A 21,105-nucleotide genomic window follows, 5' to 3' on the forward strand; every position below is an offset into this window, starting at 1 on the left:
AATGGAGCAGTTAAACTCAGGGCCCAAGGTAGAAAATCTGACATAAGGAATCTATGCTTCCAAACCTTGTGACACCTGGTGGTTATGTTCCAGATTCTGGCTCCTGGGTCCGTGGGATCTGTAAGCTCTGGTCTTTCCAAAAGTCTTGTCATAGTAGTAGGGGAAAGGAACACTTCTTATGGACAGTGAAAGGGAAACACTAACCTGTCTACTTTCTTCCAGACATCAGAAGTGAAAAGTAAGATAGAGGCATTTCTGACCTTGTCTGACTCAGTAGGACAGTGTCAGGATTTGTTTAGAGAGAGAAAGTGACCATCCTTAAAAAAAAAAAAAAAAACCCTTATGCTCCCTACTGTCAGTCTCAAGTGCATGGCTTAGTTCCAAGCCCTAGGTCTTTTTCATTTCAACACCAAACTCTACACTGGCTTTTGAGATGAAGACAGGGGTTATAGATCTGCAGAACAGCAGAGTAGCTGCTGAGTGCTTGAAGAGCCCATTCTAAACCTCCCTTTTCTCTGCCCAAGTATCCACAACACCTTCCCTGTACTGAGTTGTTCTGGACCAGGCTCCATTGTTATTCAGCCATGCCCAATCCCTGGGAAGCTGACATACAGTAGAAAATGGAGTGATAATTATGCAGCCAGTCTCTGTAGGACTTTTAGGGGAAGGACAGTCTTCCTAGGAAGTTAGTTGCCTAGTCATTTGCTTTAGCATAAAATTTTTATATATATTTTATATATATAAATGGCTACGGAGACCAGACGGTGGGAGGACAGAGGATGGGAATATGGTCAATGTTTTACTGATGACTTGGTTATCCAGCGATGATCAAAAACTCCAGTGGCTCCACCAGCTAATGCTGTCCATGAGAAGGCTGAAAGGATCTTCAGAGATTATCATGCTTAGCTCTTGCTTGTTTACTTGACTAAAAAAATAAATACTCCCCTGGTTTCCCTGGGAGTTATTATGGTTTGTAAGCAATGATAACAGTTAAAATTCTGCACTCTCATGCTAAGGTTTACAAGGTTGTTTCTAGATTTCTCTTCCTGGAGATTCTCTACTTGGACACCCCCTCCAGCCTAAAGATCCCAGAAACATCATGAGGAGCTCTCATAGGGACTGTTGGATAGAAGCAACTCTGTTGCCACGCTGAAGACCAAATTCTGGAGATCTAGCACGGGAATCCAAATCTGAGGAGTGCTGTAGAAGATAAGTACAGACTCAAAGGTGTGACAAAAGCCGAGGACTTGGAGTCAAGAGACCTGTGTGCAAATCTGCCTTTCATTATAACTGTTTGATCCAGGTTAAATCACTTAACTGCTTTGAACTTCAGTTCCTCTTTCTCTAAAACAGGAATACAATTACAGTACCTACTTCACAGTTGTAATTAATGAACAAACAAATGCACAAAGGATCCAGTATACAGTAGATAATCAGTATCAGTGACTTGTATCAGAACTTCTTTCTTACAACTGCTGTGCCTTACAAATGCTGCCCAACTCCCCATAAGGGACCCATGGTAGAGATGACACTGCTCTTCAGGTCCTTCTTACAATTTTCAAGGCAATATTTGAAAAATTCTGAACTGATCCTGGAATGGCAACCTTCTTTTCTCCACCTATCAAAACCCTATTTGTAACTGTGGACCCAATTCAAGTGTCAACCTCATTGCACATATTCCTCAAATACTTTTTAGATCTTACCTAGGGACTAAGGGAAGAGTTCCTCAAGGAAGAGATGCTTGAGCTGACAGATGAAAGCTGAGTGAGAGTACCCTAGGGAAGGGGAGAGGAGATTATATTCTGGGTAGAGGAGACAATATATGTAAAGATCTTCAGGCAAAAGGTAATCTAGTTTGTTGGAAAAACTGAAAGAAAATCAGAAGAACAGTGAGGCTAAAGCACAGGGAAGGCCAAAAGCCTTATAAATAGAGTAGCTGTGCATGGCTGTGCAGTTGGAGCCCAATACAAACGTACCCTGTCAAAGGGGCGTGTGAGGACGGAAATCCAGCCTGTGTTCTCCTTGCTAAACCATGCATTTATAGGGCTCTATATACCCAGAAGGAGTGCCTTTTTCTACTTTGTCCACCCTTGTTTTAATTTTCAGAAAGATAAACAAAAGTTAGCAGCATCTCTTACGAGGCCATGCATGTTCTGGCTCCTATCTATCACACCATTCTTACCTGGAACTCTTACCCCCATTCTCTTCTTTGTGCTCCATCCACACAGGTCTTCTGCATCCTCAGGACTTTGCATTTGTTTTGCTTGTTATATGGGGTTTCACTATCATCTACCTAGTACAATTCTTGGCATACTATTGAGGCTTGATGAGTATGTCTTAGCATTGAGTCCATGACCTGAGGCTGATTTGGCTCCATCCGAGTCTGGACCTGAACCAACTGCAATTGGGTTAGACCTGCTCTGGTCTTCAGGCTAGTGAGGCTGGTACAATGCCCATTTCTAAGTGCTGGGAGCAGTGAATCTTCTTACCTAGGCATGGCAAAGGAGTCACTTTTTGTCTTGGGGCTGCTAAAATCTTTACAGATTGAGAGTCACAAGGGCTTCTTAATACAGGCAATATTAATTTTTTTTTCTACATGGGATTGAAAGAATTGAGGAATGTGGTTGTTTCAGACTTTCCTGCACTTCAAAACTCAGAAGAGCTTTCTCTAAGGATACATTACAACATATTCAACGAGAGTCTGCCCATCAGCCTAGATTTCTGAAAGAATGATAAGCTCCTACTGCAACCATTTGTTCAACAAATATTTATTGAGCATCTACAATAATTAATAAAATAGGCATGATCTTTGACTTCACAGAACTTAGATTTTCGTGCCATGTTCAGAAGTCTCTGTGGGATTATTTTACAGGGGAAATGTGTTTTCTTAAGGTGCCAAATGCTCATTGGCAGCTTATATAGCAACTAATAAAGCACAAGAAGGGTCAGCCTTCCTGGGGTCCAAATCCTAGTGGATTCTACCATTTGAGAGCTGTGCTACTACCCTGGGCAAGTTACCTTTTTTTATTTTCAATTTTCTCACCTGTAAATGAGAATAATAATGCTTTAACCTCATAGAGTTGATATAAAGATTAAACAAAGCATAATATGTAAAAGAATGTAGCCTAGTGCCAAATCAATAAATACTTTTATATAACACAACATACTCTTGTTTTATGGAAAATGAAAATTATTTTTAAGATAAAATTTATCTGGGAAATAGGTCCATTTCTCACGAACTCAGAATAGTAATCAGAGGAAATGTCATGGCTATGGGAAATGTTTCCTATCTATTATGTCCTGATCCAGGTTGTTATTTTCTTGAGATAGAAATCTTTATCTTGGTGTCTGCCAACCAACCCCAGTGCCTAGCATAGTGCCTGGGAGCACTGCAGATAGAGGACTTGTCCTGTTAATTTCTGTACTCTTAGGGACTGGTATAGTGTCTAGAACAAAGTATGCATATTATTCGGTTGGTGCAAAAGTAAGTGCAGTTTTTGCCATTAGTTTCAATGGCAAAACTTAATAGCTATATAAGCTTATTTTTGCGCCAACTTAATAGCTGTATAAGCTTATTTCATTCTCACAACAACCCTCTAAAATGATGCTATTATTATCCTTATTATTAGATGAGGAAGCTAAGGCACAGAGAGATTAAGCCAATTGCCCTAAATTACCAAGCTAAGAGTGATAGAGCTGGAATTTAAACCAAGCAGCCTAGCTCTTAGCCTGCACGGTAACACCTAACACAATCAGATAGGAAGTGATTACTAGATATTTGTTGAATAAATGCAATTGCAAGAAAATGTAAATTATGTTCATTTAACGGAAGAATTCCATTATACATGTGTGCTTAATACAATAGCGATATTCTGAAAAGTTAGATAAAAATCAATTCTTTGTAAACTTCATGCATTTCACTAGTGTGCCCAGCACATTGTAGTTTGAAAAAGTAACCCATACTGAGCTTTAAGGGTTCCTGCTATTCAGAGTAAACTGCGGTGATCCGTTTTGTTGTGTCCTTTTGTCAAGTCAGTAATCACCTCCTAAACTGTCTGATTTATAATTAGTTTTTTTCACATACTGGCTTTTTCTAAAGCAGGAAGGGCTGGTATATATCCTTTTTTAGATCTTGTTCCGATCACCTATTAAACGGCCCCTCCCTACCCCCTATCAACTAGAAGGCTAGAGAGACAGCTGGTGCCCTCTTCTGGGGGTTTAGGGCTGTTGCATACATTGGGCCCACCACGGGGCATTTCCAGAAAACAATTATGTCAACTACTTTTCAAGTCTGATGATAAGAATAGGGTTGGATTTTTATTCTTTCTTTGAAATAAGAAACTATATCTTTCCGAAAATAAGAAAGTTGACTGTAGTGTCCAGAACAAAGTATGCATATTACATGCATAAGCTTATTTCATTCTCACAACAACCCTCTACAATGGTGCTATTAATATCCATTTTAGAAAATGAAAATAGGAGACTCAGCCAGGCGAGTCTCCTGAAGCCCTGTTGGGTAGAGGGATGGAATTCCACTGTGGTGCTGAGAAGACGCTTCCTTCAGTCAGATATATTTTATGTATGTATGTATGTATGTATGTATTTATTTATTTATTTTGAGACAGAGTCTCACTCTGTCGCCCAGGCTGGAGGGAGGTGGCTGGAACTCAGCTCACTGCAACCTCCGCCTCCCAGGTTCAAGCAATTCTCCTGCCTCAGCTTCCCGAGTAGCTGGGATTACAGGCATGTACCATCATGCCCGGCTAATTTTTTGTATTTTTAGTAGAGACAGGGTTTCACCATGTTGCCCAGGCTAGTCTCAAACTCCTGGCCTCAAGTGATCCACTTGCCACGGCCTCCCAAAGTGTTGGGATTACAGGCCTGAGCCACCGCACTGGGCCTCAGTCAGATATATTTTATGTATACTTTAAAATCGCACGCTATTAATGAAAAAATTGAGCGCTTGAGGATTATCTACGTGCTAGATACTTTAGATACATTATCTCATTTAATAGAAGTGCAAACAATATCCCCAATTTACAGTTAAGAAAACTGAGAAGCAGAGAGGTTAAGCATTGGCCAAAAAATAACAGAACCAGGAATTTAAACCCAAATCATGCTCTTTCCAGTGTAATATGTTTTCTCTTTCTACTTCTTATGATCCTGTATCAAAATCCCACTACTAAAAGAGATGGCAAGGAAATGTTCTTGACATATGTAAACCCAAGCCAACATCACTGAAACATCAAAAAGAACCATGCCCCAAACCTCTATATAGACCTCTTGCTAGTTGTTCTGACATCTTGTTTTTTTTTTGTTTGTTTTTATGTAGTTGTGTTGAATTCTTTTTTAATATAGTTGTTTTGAATAGAAAGATAGGAAGTGGGCCGGGCGCGGTGGCTCACGTCTATAATCCCAGCACTTTGGGAGGACGAGGCAGACGAATCACCTGAGGTCGGGAGTTCGAGATCAACCTGACCAACATGGAGAAACCCCATCTCTACTAAAAATACAAAATTAGCCGGACGTGGTGGCACGCGCCTGTAATCCCAGCTACTCGGGAGGCTGAGGCAGGAGAATCGCTTGAACCAGGGAGCCGGAGGTTGCGGTGAGCCGAGATCGTGCCATTGCACTCCAGCCTGGGCAAGAAGAGCGAAACTTCGTCTCAAATAAAATAAATAAATAAATAAATAAATAAATAAATAAATAAATACAGATAGGAAGTGGTGTTCGCTCTCCAACACCACCGCCGCCTCTCGCTTGCAGAGCTCCACCTGAAGCAGAAGGGGGATAACGAAGGAGGTCTCTATACCATGGCTCGTACAAGGTGGACTGCCCGCAAATCTACCGGTGGTATAGCACCCAGGAAGCAACTGGCTACAAAAGCCACTTGTAAGAGTGCGCCCTCTACTGGAGGGGTGAAGAAACCTCATCGTTACAGACCTGGTACTGTGGCACTCCGTGAAATTAGACATTATCAGAAGTCCACTGAACTTCTGATTCGCAAACTTCCCTTCCAGCGTCTGGTGCGAGAAATCGCTCAGGACTTTAAAACAGATCTGCGCTTCCAGAGGGCAGCTATCGGTACTTTGCAGGAGGCAAGTGAGGCCTATCTAGTTGGCCTTTTTGAAGACACCAACCTGTGTGCTATCCATGCCACACGTGTAACAATTATGCCAAAAGACATCCAGCTAGCACGCCACATACGTGGAGAACGTGTTTCAGAATACACCATGATGTGAAACATTTCATTCTCAAAAAAAAAAAAAATCTTCTTCCTGTTATTGGTAGTTCTGAACGTTAGATATTTTTTTTTCCATGGGGTCAAAATGTACCTAACTATATGATTGTGAGTGGAAAAATAGGGGACAGAAATCAGGTATTGACAGTTTTTCCATTTTCATTTGTGTTTGAATTTTTAATATAAATGTGGAGACATAAAGCATTAATGCAAGTTAAAATGTTTCAGTGAACAAGTTTCAGCGGTTCAACTTTATAACAATTATAAATCTGTTAAATTTTTCTGGACAATGCCAGCATTTGGATTTTTTTTAAACAAGTTAATTTCTTATCGACGGCAACTAAATGGTGTTTGTAGCATTTTTTATCATACAGTAGATTCCATCCATTCACTATACTTTTCTAATTGAGTTGTCTTACATGCAAGTACATGTTTTTAATGTTGTCTGTCTTCTGTGCTGTTCCTGTAAGTTAGCTATTAAAATACATTAAACTATAAAAAAAGAAAGATAGGAAGTTTAAATTGGTAACAGACAGAGGTTAAAGAACAAAGAAAATGTTGGGAAGCAGGGAAGGGGTTAGGAAAGGAGGGAGTTGTGTGGCTGCCGCTCTACAACTCCTGAGGCTAGAAGTGGCATATCAGGTTGAGCCCCAGCTTTCTGGGGAATTCAGCTTGCATCAAATATAATAATAACTAACCTACATCTAGTACTTACTTTGTGCCAGGCACTCTTTTAAGTGCTTTACATCTGTTAACTCATTTAATCCTCACAAAAATCCTGTTTTACATGTTAGAACATTGTAGCAGAGAGAGGCTATGATTTTCATTTTACAGATGAGGAAACTGAGGCACAGAGAAGTTGAGTAGTTTATCCAAGGTCAAGCTAACAAGCAGTGGAGTTGGAGTTTAAATTTAGGATTCTGCCTCCAGAGCTGTGTTCTCACCTGCCATGATATAGAGTTAACCCTTGAATAACAAGAGTTTGAACTGCAGATATTTTTCCATAAATATATTAGAACATTTTTGGAGATTTTCAACAATTGGTAAAAATTGCAGATGAACTGTGTAGCCTAGAAATATCAAAAAACTTAAGAAAAAGTTACATATGTTATGAATGTATAAATATATATATAAACTAGTCTATTTTATTATTTTCTACCATAAAATACACACAAATCTGTTATAAAAAGTTAAAATTTATCAAAATTTACACACCCACAGACCATACATGGTGCCATTCACAGTGAAGAGAAATGTAAACAAATGTAAAGATTCAGTATTAAATCATAACTGCATGAAATTACGTACCCACCTCCTCTTGCCATGGTGGTGAGCTCAAGTGTTGAGAGTATCTGCTTAAAATGCCACCATGTGATGCTAATCATCTCCCCTTGAGTGGTCTGCTTTAACAATAAATTGCATATGGAGATAAAAAGTGATCTCTCTTGAGGCTGCAGTGAGCTGTGAGCATGCCACTGCATTCCAGCTTGGGCAAAAGAGTGAGATTCTGGCTCAAAAAAGAAAAAAAAGCCATCTCTGGTAGTTCTCCTGTACGTTTCACCATGTACATTTCATCGTGTTTAGTGCAATACTGTAAACCATGAATAACACCGTGGGACTCACATGAAGTGCCACTACTGCTGCCAGAAGTGCTCCTAAAAAGCAAAGTCATGACATTCCAACAAAAAGTTGAATTGGTTAATATGTATCATAGATTGAGATCTGCAGCTGTGGTTACCTGCCATTTCAGACAGACGATGTAAAACTTAGAGTACTGATAAATACAGTACAATACTGTAAACGTATTTTATGTTTTTAAATCATTTTTTTGAGACAGGGTCCTACTCTATCACCCAGGCTGACTGGAGTTCAGTGACGCCTTTATGGCTCAAGCAATTCTCCCACCTCAGCCTTCTGAGTAGCTAGGACCACAGGTGCATGCACCATCTTGGCTAATTTTTGTATTTTTCATAAAGACGTTGTTTCAGCATGTTGCCCAGGCTGGTCTCGAATTCCTGGGCTCAAGCTATCCTCCCACCTCAGCCTTCTGAGTAGCTAGGACCACAGGTACATGCACCATCCTGGCTAATTTTTGTATTTTTCATAGAGACGTTGTTTCAGCATGTTGCCCAGGCTGGTCTGGAACTCCTGGGCTCAAGCAATCCTCCCTCCTTGGCCTCCCAAAGTGCTGGGATTACAGGTGTGAGCCACTGCCCCTGGCCTTAAAATCATTTTCTTTTCTGTGGCTTACTTCATTGTAGGAATACAGTATATAAAACATACGACATACAAAATATGTTAATTGATTGTTATCCATAAGACTTCTAGCCAACAGCGGACTATTAGTATAGTCATCCCTCCTCTCTGTATACATGACAGATTGATTCCAGGACCTCCTGCAGATACCAAAGTCTGCACATATTCAAGTCGCGTGCAGTCTATTTTTCAAAACCCACACATACAAAAAGTCAGTCCTCCATGTAAGCGGGTTTTGCATCCTGAGAATACTGTATTTTTGATCCATGTTTGGTGGGAAAAAAAAAACGTGTTTAAGTGGGCTCGTGAAGTTCAAACCCATGTTGTTCAAGGTTGACGTGTAGTTAAGTTTTTGGGGAGTCAAGTTATACCAAATTCTGACTGCATGGGAGATGGGGGGGCGAGTTAGCACCCCTAACCCCCATGTTGTTCAAGGGTCAACTGTATTGCCTCTTCCAATATGTTGTAAGAATAAGTATTGTTTCAGAAAAGATTTACTTCAAGGTATATATGCGTGTGTGCTTGTGTTTGTAATGGGTAGCAATGTAAAATGTATTCATTTTTGTAAGTCACAGACAAAAGTATCTAAAACTGCTACTGCTTTAGCAATAGCATTGCTGAATTGTATATCTTCAACCTTAACAGAGATAATGCCAGATTGCTCTCCAAAATTATTATACCAAATCACACTCTCAACAGCAGTGTGAGATGTTCCATATCTCTCTATATAGAATCTCTCTATATAGAATATCTATATAGATATTCTATATATTATACCTATGTTCCATATCCTCACCTGAACTTAATAGTGCCAGACTTTTAATGTGCTATCGATCCATTTAATGTGCTATCAATACTGGGTGTTGAATAGTATCTTAATGTTGTTTTCAGTTGCGTTTTTCTGATTTCCAGTACATCTTTTCATACATTTGACCATCTAAATTTTGCCTATTGTGAATCATCTGTTTATATCCCTTACTTGTATATTATACAATACAACCCTCACAACAGCTCTCTGAAGGAGCCAGCAGTATAGATGAAGAAACTAAGTCTGGGAGAAATGTTGCTTAAAGTAACCCAGCTAATGAGTTTTTGAGCTGAAATTTGAGTCCAGATGTAGAGGACCCGTAAACCTATGCCTTTTGTTTTACACTACATGCCAGGGCCCAAGGTCATGTTAGAAAAAAAAACAGAGGAAGAGCACAAATAAATTTGAACATGTAACCCTATGTCTTGTGTCTAATTAGGCTTTGTGCAATTAACATAGATTATTTCCTTGCTTCCTCACAACAACCTGTGAGGTAAAACGTGTTATCTCCATTCTACAGATGAGAAAACTAAGGTGTAGGGAAGTGAAGAAATTTGTCTTGGAAGGGTTAAATTACAGCTAGAAATTTGCCTTGGAAAGGTTAAATTACAGCTAGGGACAGAATTGCAACTCAAACACAGATCTGCCTGATTACCAAGTCCACGCCTGTTCCACAGTAATGTCTGTCCATAGATACTCCTGGTGTAAGGTAAAGGCCTCCCACAAATCAAGCCTGACTCATCATCTCCTAGAGCCAGGTCTTGACCTGCTTCCCCAGTTTCTCTCCAGATCCCCATATGTTTCTACTTCGGTACGGCCAGGACTATACCTACTATCTTTCTGCAGAATAATGGTCTGAGGCAGCCTTAAAACTGGCCGAGCCCTGCTGCTTCACATTAACCATCTGGGCTAGGTTAGCTCCCATAGATTACTCTTCCCCTTCCTCAGGCTTCTCTAATGAAGCCCAATAAGGATCTCAACACCTTCCAAGGTAAACCAGAAAATTATAAGTCAGAGTCCTTAAACGTGGCTGCACATTAAAATCACTTGTGAACTTAAAAAAATCCTGATGCACTAGTTACAACCCAGGCCCATTACATCAGAATGGTACCCAGGCATTCATAATAGTTAAAGCTTCCCAGATGATTCCAATCTACAGCCAAGATTGAGAACCACTGTTACGGCATCTTCTTCAAGCTCCAGCAGCCATACTCAGTAGTTTCCACATTTTAGGTTTTCATAGGAACTTCTTGGAGCACTGGTAAAGAGCCAGATTTCTGGACGCCATCCCAGAGAATCCTGGTTCAGACCCAGGAGTCTACATTCTTAATAATCACCCCAGATAGTTTCACTGCAGATTATTAGCAGACAATATTTTGAGAAATGCTGCATTAGAGGCATGGAAGTAGGATGGGAACAGGAGGCCTCTGGCCCTTTAAGGATGGATTAAGGGACTACTTTTAAGGCTGTAGGGGCAAGTAGGATCAGGCTGCTTTTTTTCATTCTAGTGGATAAGTTAAGGAAGTGGGTCCTGAAATGGACCTCTCCTTTTAAGTTACCTGAGCCTCTCAATAGGTACTATCTTGTTCTCAGCCCGGGAGAGCGGGAGGGGCATGCTGCCTTGTCCCACCTTCTGTTTCTGTTTCTTTTGATGCAAAGAGGCCAAGTTATGAGGCAACTTTGGTCCAGGAGATCCTCTTAGAGAAAGCAACATAGGGCCTGCCTGCCTTTCTTTTTCTTGCCCCATCCTTGGTTGTGGAGCCAGGATGCAGTTATCTGCATGAAAGGAAATGGTCAGAGTGACGTCCCTTGGGCTTGTGTTGGGGCCTGTTGTTGAACACTAAGCCTTTCAAGATGGTCCTCCTCAGTATTCTTAGAATTCTTTTTCTTTGTGAACTCGTGCTTTTCATGGAACACAGGGCCCAAATGGCAGAAGGAGGGCAGTCCTCTATTGCCCTTCTGGCTGAGGCCCCTACTTTGCCCCTGATTGAGGAGCTGCTAGAAGAATCCCCTGGCGAACAGCCAAGGAAGCCCCGGCTCCTAGGGCATTCACTGCGGTACATGCTGGAGTTGTACCGGCGTTCAGCTGACTCGCATGGGCACCCTAGAGAGAACCGCACCATTGGGGCCACCATGGTGAGGCTGGTGAAGCCCTTGACCAATGTGGCAAGGCCTCACAGAGGTGAGTTGTTATGCCCCCATACTGCCCTGGAAGGGAGAGAAGTGGAGAGGAGTGTAGAGAAAAGGGAATTGGTGGGTTTACTGTCAGGCTTTGTTGCCTTGTGGGCAGGTTGTTTCTTTAGGCTTGGTTTTCAAAGGATGGCAAGCTTTGGAGAAGCCAGCGCCAAGCCTACTTCCCTTTAGGGCATCAACTTAAGAACAGATTGCCTTGGTGCCTACTGAGAAATCTTTCCCAGGCCCCAGGACAACTGAGTGATGTGCCATCACCTATCTTTCACAGAAACTTTTATTGCTTGTGATAGTTCTGAAAACTGTAGAGACATATCCAGCTATATTCTTGTGGAGGGCTATTTAAGTGGCGTTTTGCTCTTAGAGTACAGCTTGCTGAGTTGGGGAAACTTATAAGGCCTCAGAAAGGACATAAATAAGCTTACATCTGAGGGTCTGTATACCTGGCTCTGTGAACATGTGCTACTGTATTTCTTAATGAAAGCTACTATCTTAACTGTCTTGATGCAATTAGCCTAATTTTAAAACTAAGGCACGGAGAGGTTAAGTAACTTGCAAATGGTACACAGATAGTGGGTCGCAGAGATGGGATTGCAGCTGAAGTCTGTCTGATTCTAAAGTCTGTCGGTAACTTCTTAAGTCTTTAAATGCAGTATTCCAATATCCTTGTACCCCCAATAGTTTTTCTACTTGGGCCATATTGCTACTTTGGGATTCTGGGACTAAGTGTATTTTGGAACTTTTTTTTGTCCCCATCATGCTTGATTTTGCTTTTAACATTTGCATCAGACATTGTTGCAGGACAACAGTGGGCTATTGAAGTGTAGGACTCTCTAGAGAATGCAGACAGTCATCAACTTCAAGGAATTCTTGGGAACCTAGTGAGATCAATCTGTAGCCTTCACTAGTCTGAGATGAAAAGGGACAGGACTTAATCCCCTCCCCAAGCAAAACAATAAATATTCTCGTACCTAACCCTTACTGTGAGATTACTGTGTGCCAGGCATTGCACAAAATGTTTTATAAACATTATCTTAATCCTCACAACTACCAGATTAGGTAGTATTAACATGCCTACTTGATAGGTGAAGAAACTGAGGATCAGAGTCACTTACCCATGTCATACAACCAGTAATTGCTAGAGCCAGGTATCAAACCCAGGCTCTCAGGCCCAAAGCCTGTGTGTTAATCATCTTGCTGTTCTGACTCCCCACTGGATTTTAATTGAGTGCCAGGCAGTGTGTTTGGGTTGGGTATATAGAAGCAAATACTTTTCCGACCTCTAGAAGTTCCCAGTATAGTGGAATGGATAGATAATTACATAATAATGTTACAGTATGCCAAGTGCTTTGGAAAGGACAAACAGTAGGGCTCCCAGGACCTATGAGAAGAAATGGCTCATTTCTTGAAGTGAAGAGACTGTTGGAAGGCCTCATGGAGGAGGTAGTACTTGAAACTGACCTTGCAGAAGGAGCAAAGAGGTCATGCATTGAGGCAGATAAGTGCATTCTGATTTAGGAAAGAGAAAATGGTGTGGGTAGAGATTCATTGAACAAATATTAGGTGCCAAATGTTGGCACCTACTGAGTACTAGGCATACAGATGTGATCAAGATAGGTAAAACCCCTACTTTCATGGAACATATGTTCTCGTAGGGGAGACAAATAAGCACACACAGTTAAATTGTGAATTGTGGTAAGTGCTATCAAAGGATGAAGTAGGTTGTTAAGATAGAGAATGGCAATGAAACCTTCCCTTTCCATGGACTTGTCAGGGAATGTATCTTTGAAGAAGTGCCATTTGAGCTCAGGTCTATAAGATAAACTAGGCATGAGAAGAGTAGGGAGAAGCCTGATTTAGGCAGAGGAACAACAGGTGCAAATGCCTAGAGGGTGAAAACAAGTTGGTTCCAATTGAAGAACAGAGGAAAATCAGTATGGCTGGATCCTCATGAGCATTGTGGGAAATGGCAGGGTATGAGGCTAATGAGAAGCAGGGACTTGTAGGCTGTGATAAGGGATCTGGATCCTAAGAGCAGCAGAAAGTTGCAAAAAATCAAGCACTTTGGGAGGCCAATATGGGAAGATCACTTGAGCCCAGGAGACTGAGACCAGCCTGAGCAACACAGGGAGACATGTCTCTACAAAAAATAAAAATACATTAGCTGGGTGTAGTGGTGCACACCTGTGGTCCCAGCTACTCACGAGGCTGAGACCAGAGGATCATTTGAGCCTGGGAGGTTGAGACTAGAGGAACATTTGAGCCTGGGAGGTTGAGATTGCAGTGAGGCATGATTGTGCCACTGCACTCCAGCCTGGGTGACAGTGAGGCCCTGTCTCAAGGAAAAAAAACAACAACCCCACAAATTAAGAAAAAATTAGGCTTGTACAGATGATGTGAGGCTAGAAAGGAGGATGCCTAGAATTAGACATGTATCCTGGTCTCACTGTGGAATATACTGGTATCTAGGGACTGTGGAAAGGATCCAGAGACAGATGACAGGTTCAATCACACAGGATGTGTGATTCAGCCCTTTCCCTGAAAAGCTTTGACCAGACCCTTCCTGGCTCTGATTCTTAGCAACCCCATCCTGCTTCAGGAAACATGTGATGTCAAGGTCTCAAAGAAAAGGGCAGTTCCTCCCCAGACAGCCTGCTAGAGGTTTGGGTTGAGTTCCTTTATAGCCAGGGTGGAGCAGGTTTAAGGGTGGGCCTCTAAGAAAGATTACTGTAAGATGGGAGTGTGGAATAACTTGAGAAAGCAAATACAAGCCTGGCTTGGATTTGTGTGAATAATGTCTAGTGCGCCAAGCCCAAGGGTATATTAAGCATGAGTTGGAATTTGACCTTTTATTTTACTTATTTTTTTGAGATGGAGTTTCGCTCTTATCATCCAGGCTGGAGTGCAGTGGCACAAACTCGGCTCACTACAACCTCTGCCTCCCGGGTGCACGCCATTCTCCTGCCTCAGCCTCCCGAGTAGCTGGGATTACAGGTGCCTGCCACCACGCCCGGCTAATTTTTTGTATTTTTAGTAGAGGCAGGGTGTCACCATGTTGGCCAGGCTGGTCTCAAACTCCTGACCTCAGGTGATCCGCCCGCCTCAGACTCCCAAAGTGCTGGGATTAGAGGCGTGAGCCACCGCGCCCAGCCGGAATTTGAACTTTTAAAGATATTCTGGGGCTGGGTGCAGTGGCTCAAAGGGCGGCTAATCCCTGCACTTTGGGAGGCCAAAGGGGGCAGATCGCTTGAACCCAGGAGTTCGAGACCAGCCCGGCAACATGGCAAAACCCTGTCTCTACAAAAAACAAAACAGAAAAAGCTGGGCATGTTGGCACATACCTGTAGTCCTTGCTATCCATGGGGGCTGAGGTGAGAGGATCTCTTGAACCTGGGAAGTCAAGGCTGTAGTGAGCCATGATTGTGCCACTGTACTCCAGCCTGGGTGACAGAGGGAGACTCTGGAAAAAAAAATTCTGGAACATCAAGATGTAAAAGAACTTCTGTGTTAAAAATGCCACATCTAATGAAGAATTCCAGGCTTGTGGATTCAGTGGAGAAGAAGGACTAGGTGAATAAATACAAATTAACATGGAATTATTTACTGATAAGATGTCTGAAGATGAGAGGTGGCTTTTTCCTGTGGTGCCAGGCTTTTGTAATCTTTGCTCTTGACCTTCGCCGGGAGGGGGTGCAGAAGTTTGGAGCACCATGGATGTAACCTTTCAATCCTTTGGCCGTTGAGTGTCAGCACTACAGTTTGGATTAAAGCTCTTATTCACAAAGCAGCATCCAGCTTTTAGTAGACTTCTCAGCAAACAAAATATTTATGTGATCAAGACTGTGTTGAAAATAGTATATAGAGGAATAGTGGTAAAATGAATGGGGTAAATGGAGAACAATTTCCAGCAAGGAGTGGTAAAGAGAGAGATTAAGGGCCAAAGGAGGAAAAGATGCTTAAGAAGCAATTCTTGAAGTAGATGGAAGGCAGAAGTGGTAAGATAGCTGTCTGTACTAGAGGATGATAGACAAAATTATTTTGTAGTGCCTTGGTCCTGAGTTTGAAATTATAGCAGGCCATAGCACCCAATACTGAATTGTTGTCCCAAAGCTGCATCTGTATAGTGATATGACATGAGACTCTTTCTTAATCCATGTATGTTTCAACAATTCTAAATGGACACATTTAATGGTCAACTAATAATAATATTGATCTTCTCCCCTACATACAGTATGCACACAAGATAATTCTATATTTGAGTTTTTTCCCCCGAGCCCAGCACTGTAAGTAATCTAACAGTGAGACAGTTTCTCTTAAGAAAAACAGACTTGGGTTCAAATCTTAACTCTACCACATACCAGCTGTGTGTCCTTTGTCATAGCTTCTCTGAGCCTCAATTTCCTTATCTGCAAAATGGGGATAATAACTATCTCATAAGACTATTAAGAATTAAAGAGCTAATACATGTAAAGCATCTAGTGTATTAGTAAGTGCTCAGTAAATGATAGTATCATTATCTTGAGTTAATTTTAGGGCTGATTATAGCTATCAGTCTATATCAAGACAGTTTATGAGGAATATTCATGTTAAGAGGTAAGAAGCTAAACCTCTGCTCTTGTTCCCTCTTACTTCTGCAGGTACCTGGCATATACAGATCCTGGGCTTTCCTCTCAGACCAAACCGAGGACTATACCAACTAGTTAGAGCCACTGTGGTTTACCGCCATCATCTCCAACTAACTCGCTTCAATCTCTCCTGCCATGTGGAGCCCTGGGTGCAGAAAAACCCAACCAACCACTTCCCTTCCTCAGAAGGAGATTCCTCAAAACCTTCCCTGATGTCTAACGCTTGGAAAGAGATGGATATCACACAACTTGTTCAGCAAAGGTTCTGGAATAACAAGGGACACAGGATCCTACGACTCCGTTTTATGTGTCAGCAGCAAAAAGATAGTGGTGGTCTTGAGCTCTGGCATGGCACTTCATCCTTGGACATTGCCTTCTTGTTACTCTATTTCAATGATACTCATAAAAGCATTCGGAAGGCTAAATTTCTTCCCAGGGGCATGGAGGAGTTCATGGAAAGGGAATCTCTTCTCCGGAGAACCCGACAAGCAGATGGTATCTCAGCTGAGGTTACTGCCTCTTCCTCAAAACATAGCGGGCCTGAAAATAACCAGTGTTCCCTCCACCCTTTCCAAATCAGCTTCCGCCAGCTGGGTTGGGATCACTGGATCATTGCTCCCCCTTTCTACACCCCAAACTACTGTAAAGGAACTTGTCTCCGAGTACTACGCGATGGTCTCAATTCCCCCAATCACGCCATTATTCAGAACCTTATCAATCAGTTGGTGGACCAGAGTGTCCCCCGGCCCTCCTGTGTCCCGTATAAGTATGTTCCAATTAGTGTCCTTATGATTGAGGCAAATGGGAGTATTTTGTACAAGGAGTATGAGGGTATGATTGCTGAGTCTTGTACATGCAGATGACAGCAACAGTACGGCTAGATCAGGTTTCCCAGGAAACTGGAGGAGAGTTTAAAATATCAGTGTTAAAGCTGCAAGTAATCCTGTACCAATCTGTAGGTTATATTTCTTGCCTTAAGTGTTACTTAAGTCTCTTCCCCCACTTGTGAGCTAGTCAGTTTATAGAAACAGTTCTGATACCAGTCCCCTAGCATGAATCAGTACAGTTTGACCACTAATCAGAGCCCTTAATGCTTGGGTAAAATGTCCTCTATTTTACTTTCCTTGGGGCTTTGTCAAAAGTCAGCAGTCAGTAGTGGTAGAACTTCAGAAATTTTCCAACTTTTCCCAGCCTGGGAAAGGTGGGTGTCCATATTTTCCTAGTGTCCATATTCTGACGCTCTATAAGATTTGGGGTGGTGAAAATAGCTTGGGATTTTATACTCCTCTTCTTGCCTCCTATGTCCTGGAAACTACTAGTAGCTAATCAGATAAATTGCCTGCTTCTGTGTTAGTATTACCTTCTAAAACTTTTCTCAGACTGGAAATTTTTCAGGTAACAGTCTTTATAGAAATCTTTTGAGGGACTAGAAGGAAGGAAATGTTTTTCTAAACCAGCAGGGCTTTTCCTCTTAGCCTCTGAATCTGGGAAAAGTATCTGGGATTATTTCCTGTCCTAGGTGAGTACAGTAGCATTTAATGAAGCCCATAAGGAAACTAGAGTATGGAGCTGTCTGAGATAATCTACTTCAAACCTGCATTTATGGTGAAGAAGAGAAAACCTGTCATTGCTGATTAGTATTATGAATGGGGGAGTTATTTTAAGTATTCTATGGAACAATAGAGTTCAGAGTATTTTCCTTATGTGACACTTAAACCCCTGTAAATTATCCTACAAAGTTCCTTGGTGGCTCCGAGGCTAGGAGTTGGCCTGATTGGGGGTGCAGGGGATTAGAGGGCTGTGAAGGAAGGACTACAGAATAAGGGTGAAACCTGCCAAGGCCTGGAGCTGACTTTATTCTGGGCTTGCCTGTTTCTTGTGTTCAGTTTGGATCTGGACCGGGGTCTCTAAGGGAGAAGGGCTTGTTGTCTTTGGGAGACATGGAACGATGCCTTGAAATAAATGATGCTTGCAGTGTGACTCCTTTCTACTCCTATACTGTATTTAAATGACGGGACTGGGTTTTGTTGCAAATAAATCATTTCACTGTTGAAGAAAATCTTGACTGTTTTTAGAATTGGGAGAGATTGGAAGGAATTTATTTCCTTTGTTCCCTTTAGCTATGGCTAGGAATTCAACCCTAATCCCTGAGGGGCAGGGCTGGAGCGTCCTCTGAAGTTCTTCTCTCTTAAGGAAACACTGCTAGCCATCAGCCCTCGCCAAGGTGCCCCTTTAGGGAAGCCCCTAAGGGGCCAGTAAGTCTTTCCCTGCCCAATTGCTCTTGACTAGTCTTATGGCAATTCTCATGGGATGGGACTGATTTAGGGTAGGTATGTGTGTTTGTCAAATCCCTACGTTTCTTACCTATTCATTGTAAACTAACTCCTTTTACCACTCCCTTCAAAAGCTGGTTCCAACTAGGCTGAATATCTTGCAAGTGTATAAATGCAAATTTTATTCTTGTGACTGAGGAGCTATTCCTTAACATCAGTTTGCCTGTCTACCTTCTTTACTGTATCCTTAAGAATCAACTCAGGCATTTCTCATCTTCTCAATGTCCCCTTGACATACCAGCCTCAGGTGTGTATTAAGTTTCCTATGTATTCAGACCTCACAAAGCTAGGAGATCATGACTTATTGAAAATCCCTAAGATCCAAGATGCTAAACTTAGGATCTGGTCTTATAACCAAGGTCCATCTTCAGCTAGACTGAATATTTTGCAAGTCTCTAGGTGTCCCTCTGTGTTCATATAGCACTTTATACCTGCCTTTAATACGCTCTAGTATATATGTCTATTCTTACAAAAACACGGAGCCCCTTTTGAGTTTCAACTGCATCTTACCCTTTTCTATATTATAAGAGCCTGGCATCTAGTAGGTCCTTAATGAATACAAACACTCAATTATGACATTTTTTTGTGAGTGATGCATTCTTCCTGACATGGAACATCTCAATTTTCACATATTTTATTTTTCCATGGGAATCAATGTAATATAAAATAGTTTGTGTATCAAGTAAGATGATTATTATATCCTACTATTTCAAAATCATGATTTAAATTATAATAGAATGTAATAGCTATGTTAAGTAAGGCAGTTCTTGTAATCATTATATATGCTGCAGATTTATCTGGGAGGGGAACTATGGGCTTCCAGTCTAGCCATTTCTCCAGCCTACTTGGGGTAGGCACAAATATCTAACAGGCCTGAAGATGGACCTCGATTATAGGACCAGATCCTGAGTTCAGCATCTTTGTTCTTAGGGATTTTCAGAAAGTCATGATCTCCTAGCCTTGTGAGTGCTGAATACATAGGAAACTTAATCTGTTTATGGAAGGTTCAGGATTAATTGGCCCTATTATCCATTAAGCCCTGAGTTATCAGAATACCCAAGAAAAACACTGGCAGGATGGGGTTACTTAGGATGATGTTATGGATTCTTCCTTTGAAATATTGCTTCAGTTCAGTACTTTTTCTCAAATCCAAAGTTAGAGTTCTATACCTCAAACCTTCCTCTGAGAGGAAGAATACATGCTTGCTAGTGGAGGAGGGTGCGTGGGTGGGGGTGGGGCCTGTCTGCCCATGTAGGTGGGGAGAAATGGTTACTTGATCTGGAAAGGGAAAGTAGGAAGCAAGTCCACATAGTCCCAACAATCCCAATGAGTAAGCTGGAACTTCATTTAATGTATGGGTGCAAAAGGAGCAGGAGCAGGCATTTAAACTTGTGTCTGATCGTGGATCTCTTTTGCATTTACCTTGGTAGTATGTCACAACCAATTCTGGGCAAAGTTGGGAAGCAGGCAGAACTTCAGTTACACAAACTATTTGGCCTAATCTTGTAAAACATTTCATGTCTTCAGTTAATTCTCCCAAGAGCACTATGAAGTAGGAGGTATTAGTCTTATTTTCTAAAAACTGCCTCATTGAGGTGTAATTTACCATAAAAGCTACTATTTAAGGTGTACAATTCAGTGGTTTTTAGTATATTCACAGACTTGTGTAAATATCACCACAATCTAATTTCACCACAAAAGAAACCTCATGCCTTTTAGTGGTCAATCCCCATTCCCCCAACCTTTACCAACAGCTCCTGACAACCACTAGTCTACTTTCTTTTTCTCTGGATTATGGACATTTAAATAAATAGAATCACATGATATTTAGTTTTTGTAACTGGCTGCTTTAGTATGTTTTCAAGATTCACCTGTGTTATAGCATATATCCATACTTTGTTTCTTTTTGTTACTGAATAATATTCTATTGTAGGATATACCAAACCTTTATCCATCAATCTGATGGAAGTTCAAGTTTCTATGTTTTGACTATTATGAATAATCTTGCCATGAATGTTCATGAGAAGTTTTTGTGTAGACACATATTTTCATTCCTCTTGTGTATACACCTAGGAGTAGAAATGGTATATCATATGGTATATTTAACATTTTAAGGAACTGCAAAACTATTTTCCAAAGTGGCTGCACTCTTTTATAATCCAGCAATGTATGAGAGTACCAATTTCTCCACATCCTCATCAACAGTCATTATTGTCTGTGTTTTATATTCTAGCCATATTGGTGGAAGTGAAATGGTGCCTCCTTGTGGTTTTGATTTGCATTTCCCTAAGGATTAATGATGTGGAGCATCTTTTCATGTGCTTATTGGCAACTGGCACATCATCTTTGGATAAATGTCTATTCAAACCATTTGCCCAGTTTAAAATTGTGTTGTCTCTTGTTGTGTTGTAAAAGTTCTTCATATGTTTTGGATATTAATCTCTTATCAGAGCTATGATACACAAATATTTTCTGATTCTGTGGATTATTTAACTTTCTTGATGGTGTTCTTTGAACACAAAAGTTTTTAATTTGGAAGAAGCCCTGTTTATCTATTTTTATCTATTGCTGCTTGTGCTTCTGGTATCATTGGAGAAAAATCGAATAATCCAAGTGTCATGAAAATTTACGCCTATGTTTTTTTCTAAGTGT

The 21,105-nt window shown here is 41.2% G+C and overlaps 1 protein-coding gene and 1 pseudogene across 1 annotated transcript; both read left to right on the top strand.

The window, feature by feature from the left end:
- H3P44 (H3 histone pseudogene 44) lies at nt 5,731–6,738 on the top strand (annotated as a pseudogene).
- Nucleotides 11,111–17,017, top strand: BMP15 (bone morphogenetic protein 15). The gene is made up of 2 exons (NM_005448.2): nt 11,111–11,487; nt 16,133–17,017. The coding sequence occupies exons 1-2, from the start codon at nt 11,160–11,162 to the stop codon at nt 16,981–16,983; spliced, it is 1,179 nt and encodes a 392-aa protein (NP_005439.2). The 5' UTR covers nt 11,111–11,159; the 3' UTR covers nt 16,984–17,017.

Source organism: Homo sapiens, chromosome X (genome assembly GCF_000001405.40).
Source record: "Homo sapiens chromosome X, GRCh38.p14 Primary Assembly".
Classification (NCBI taxonomy): Eukaryota; Metazoa; Chordata; class Mammalia; order Primates; family Hominidae; genus Homo; species Homo sapiens.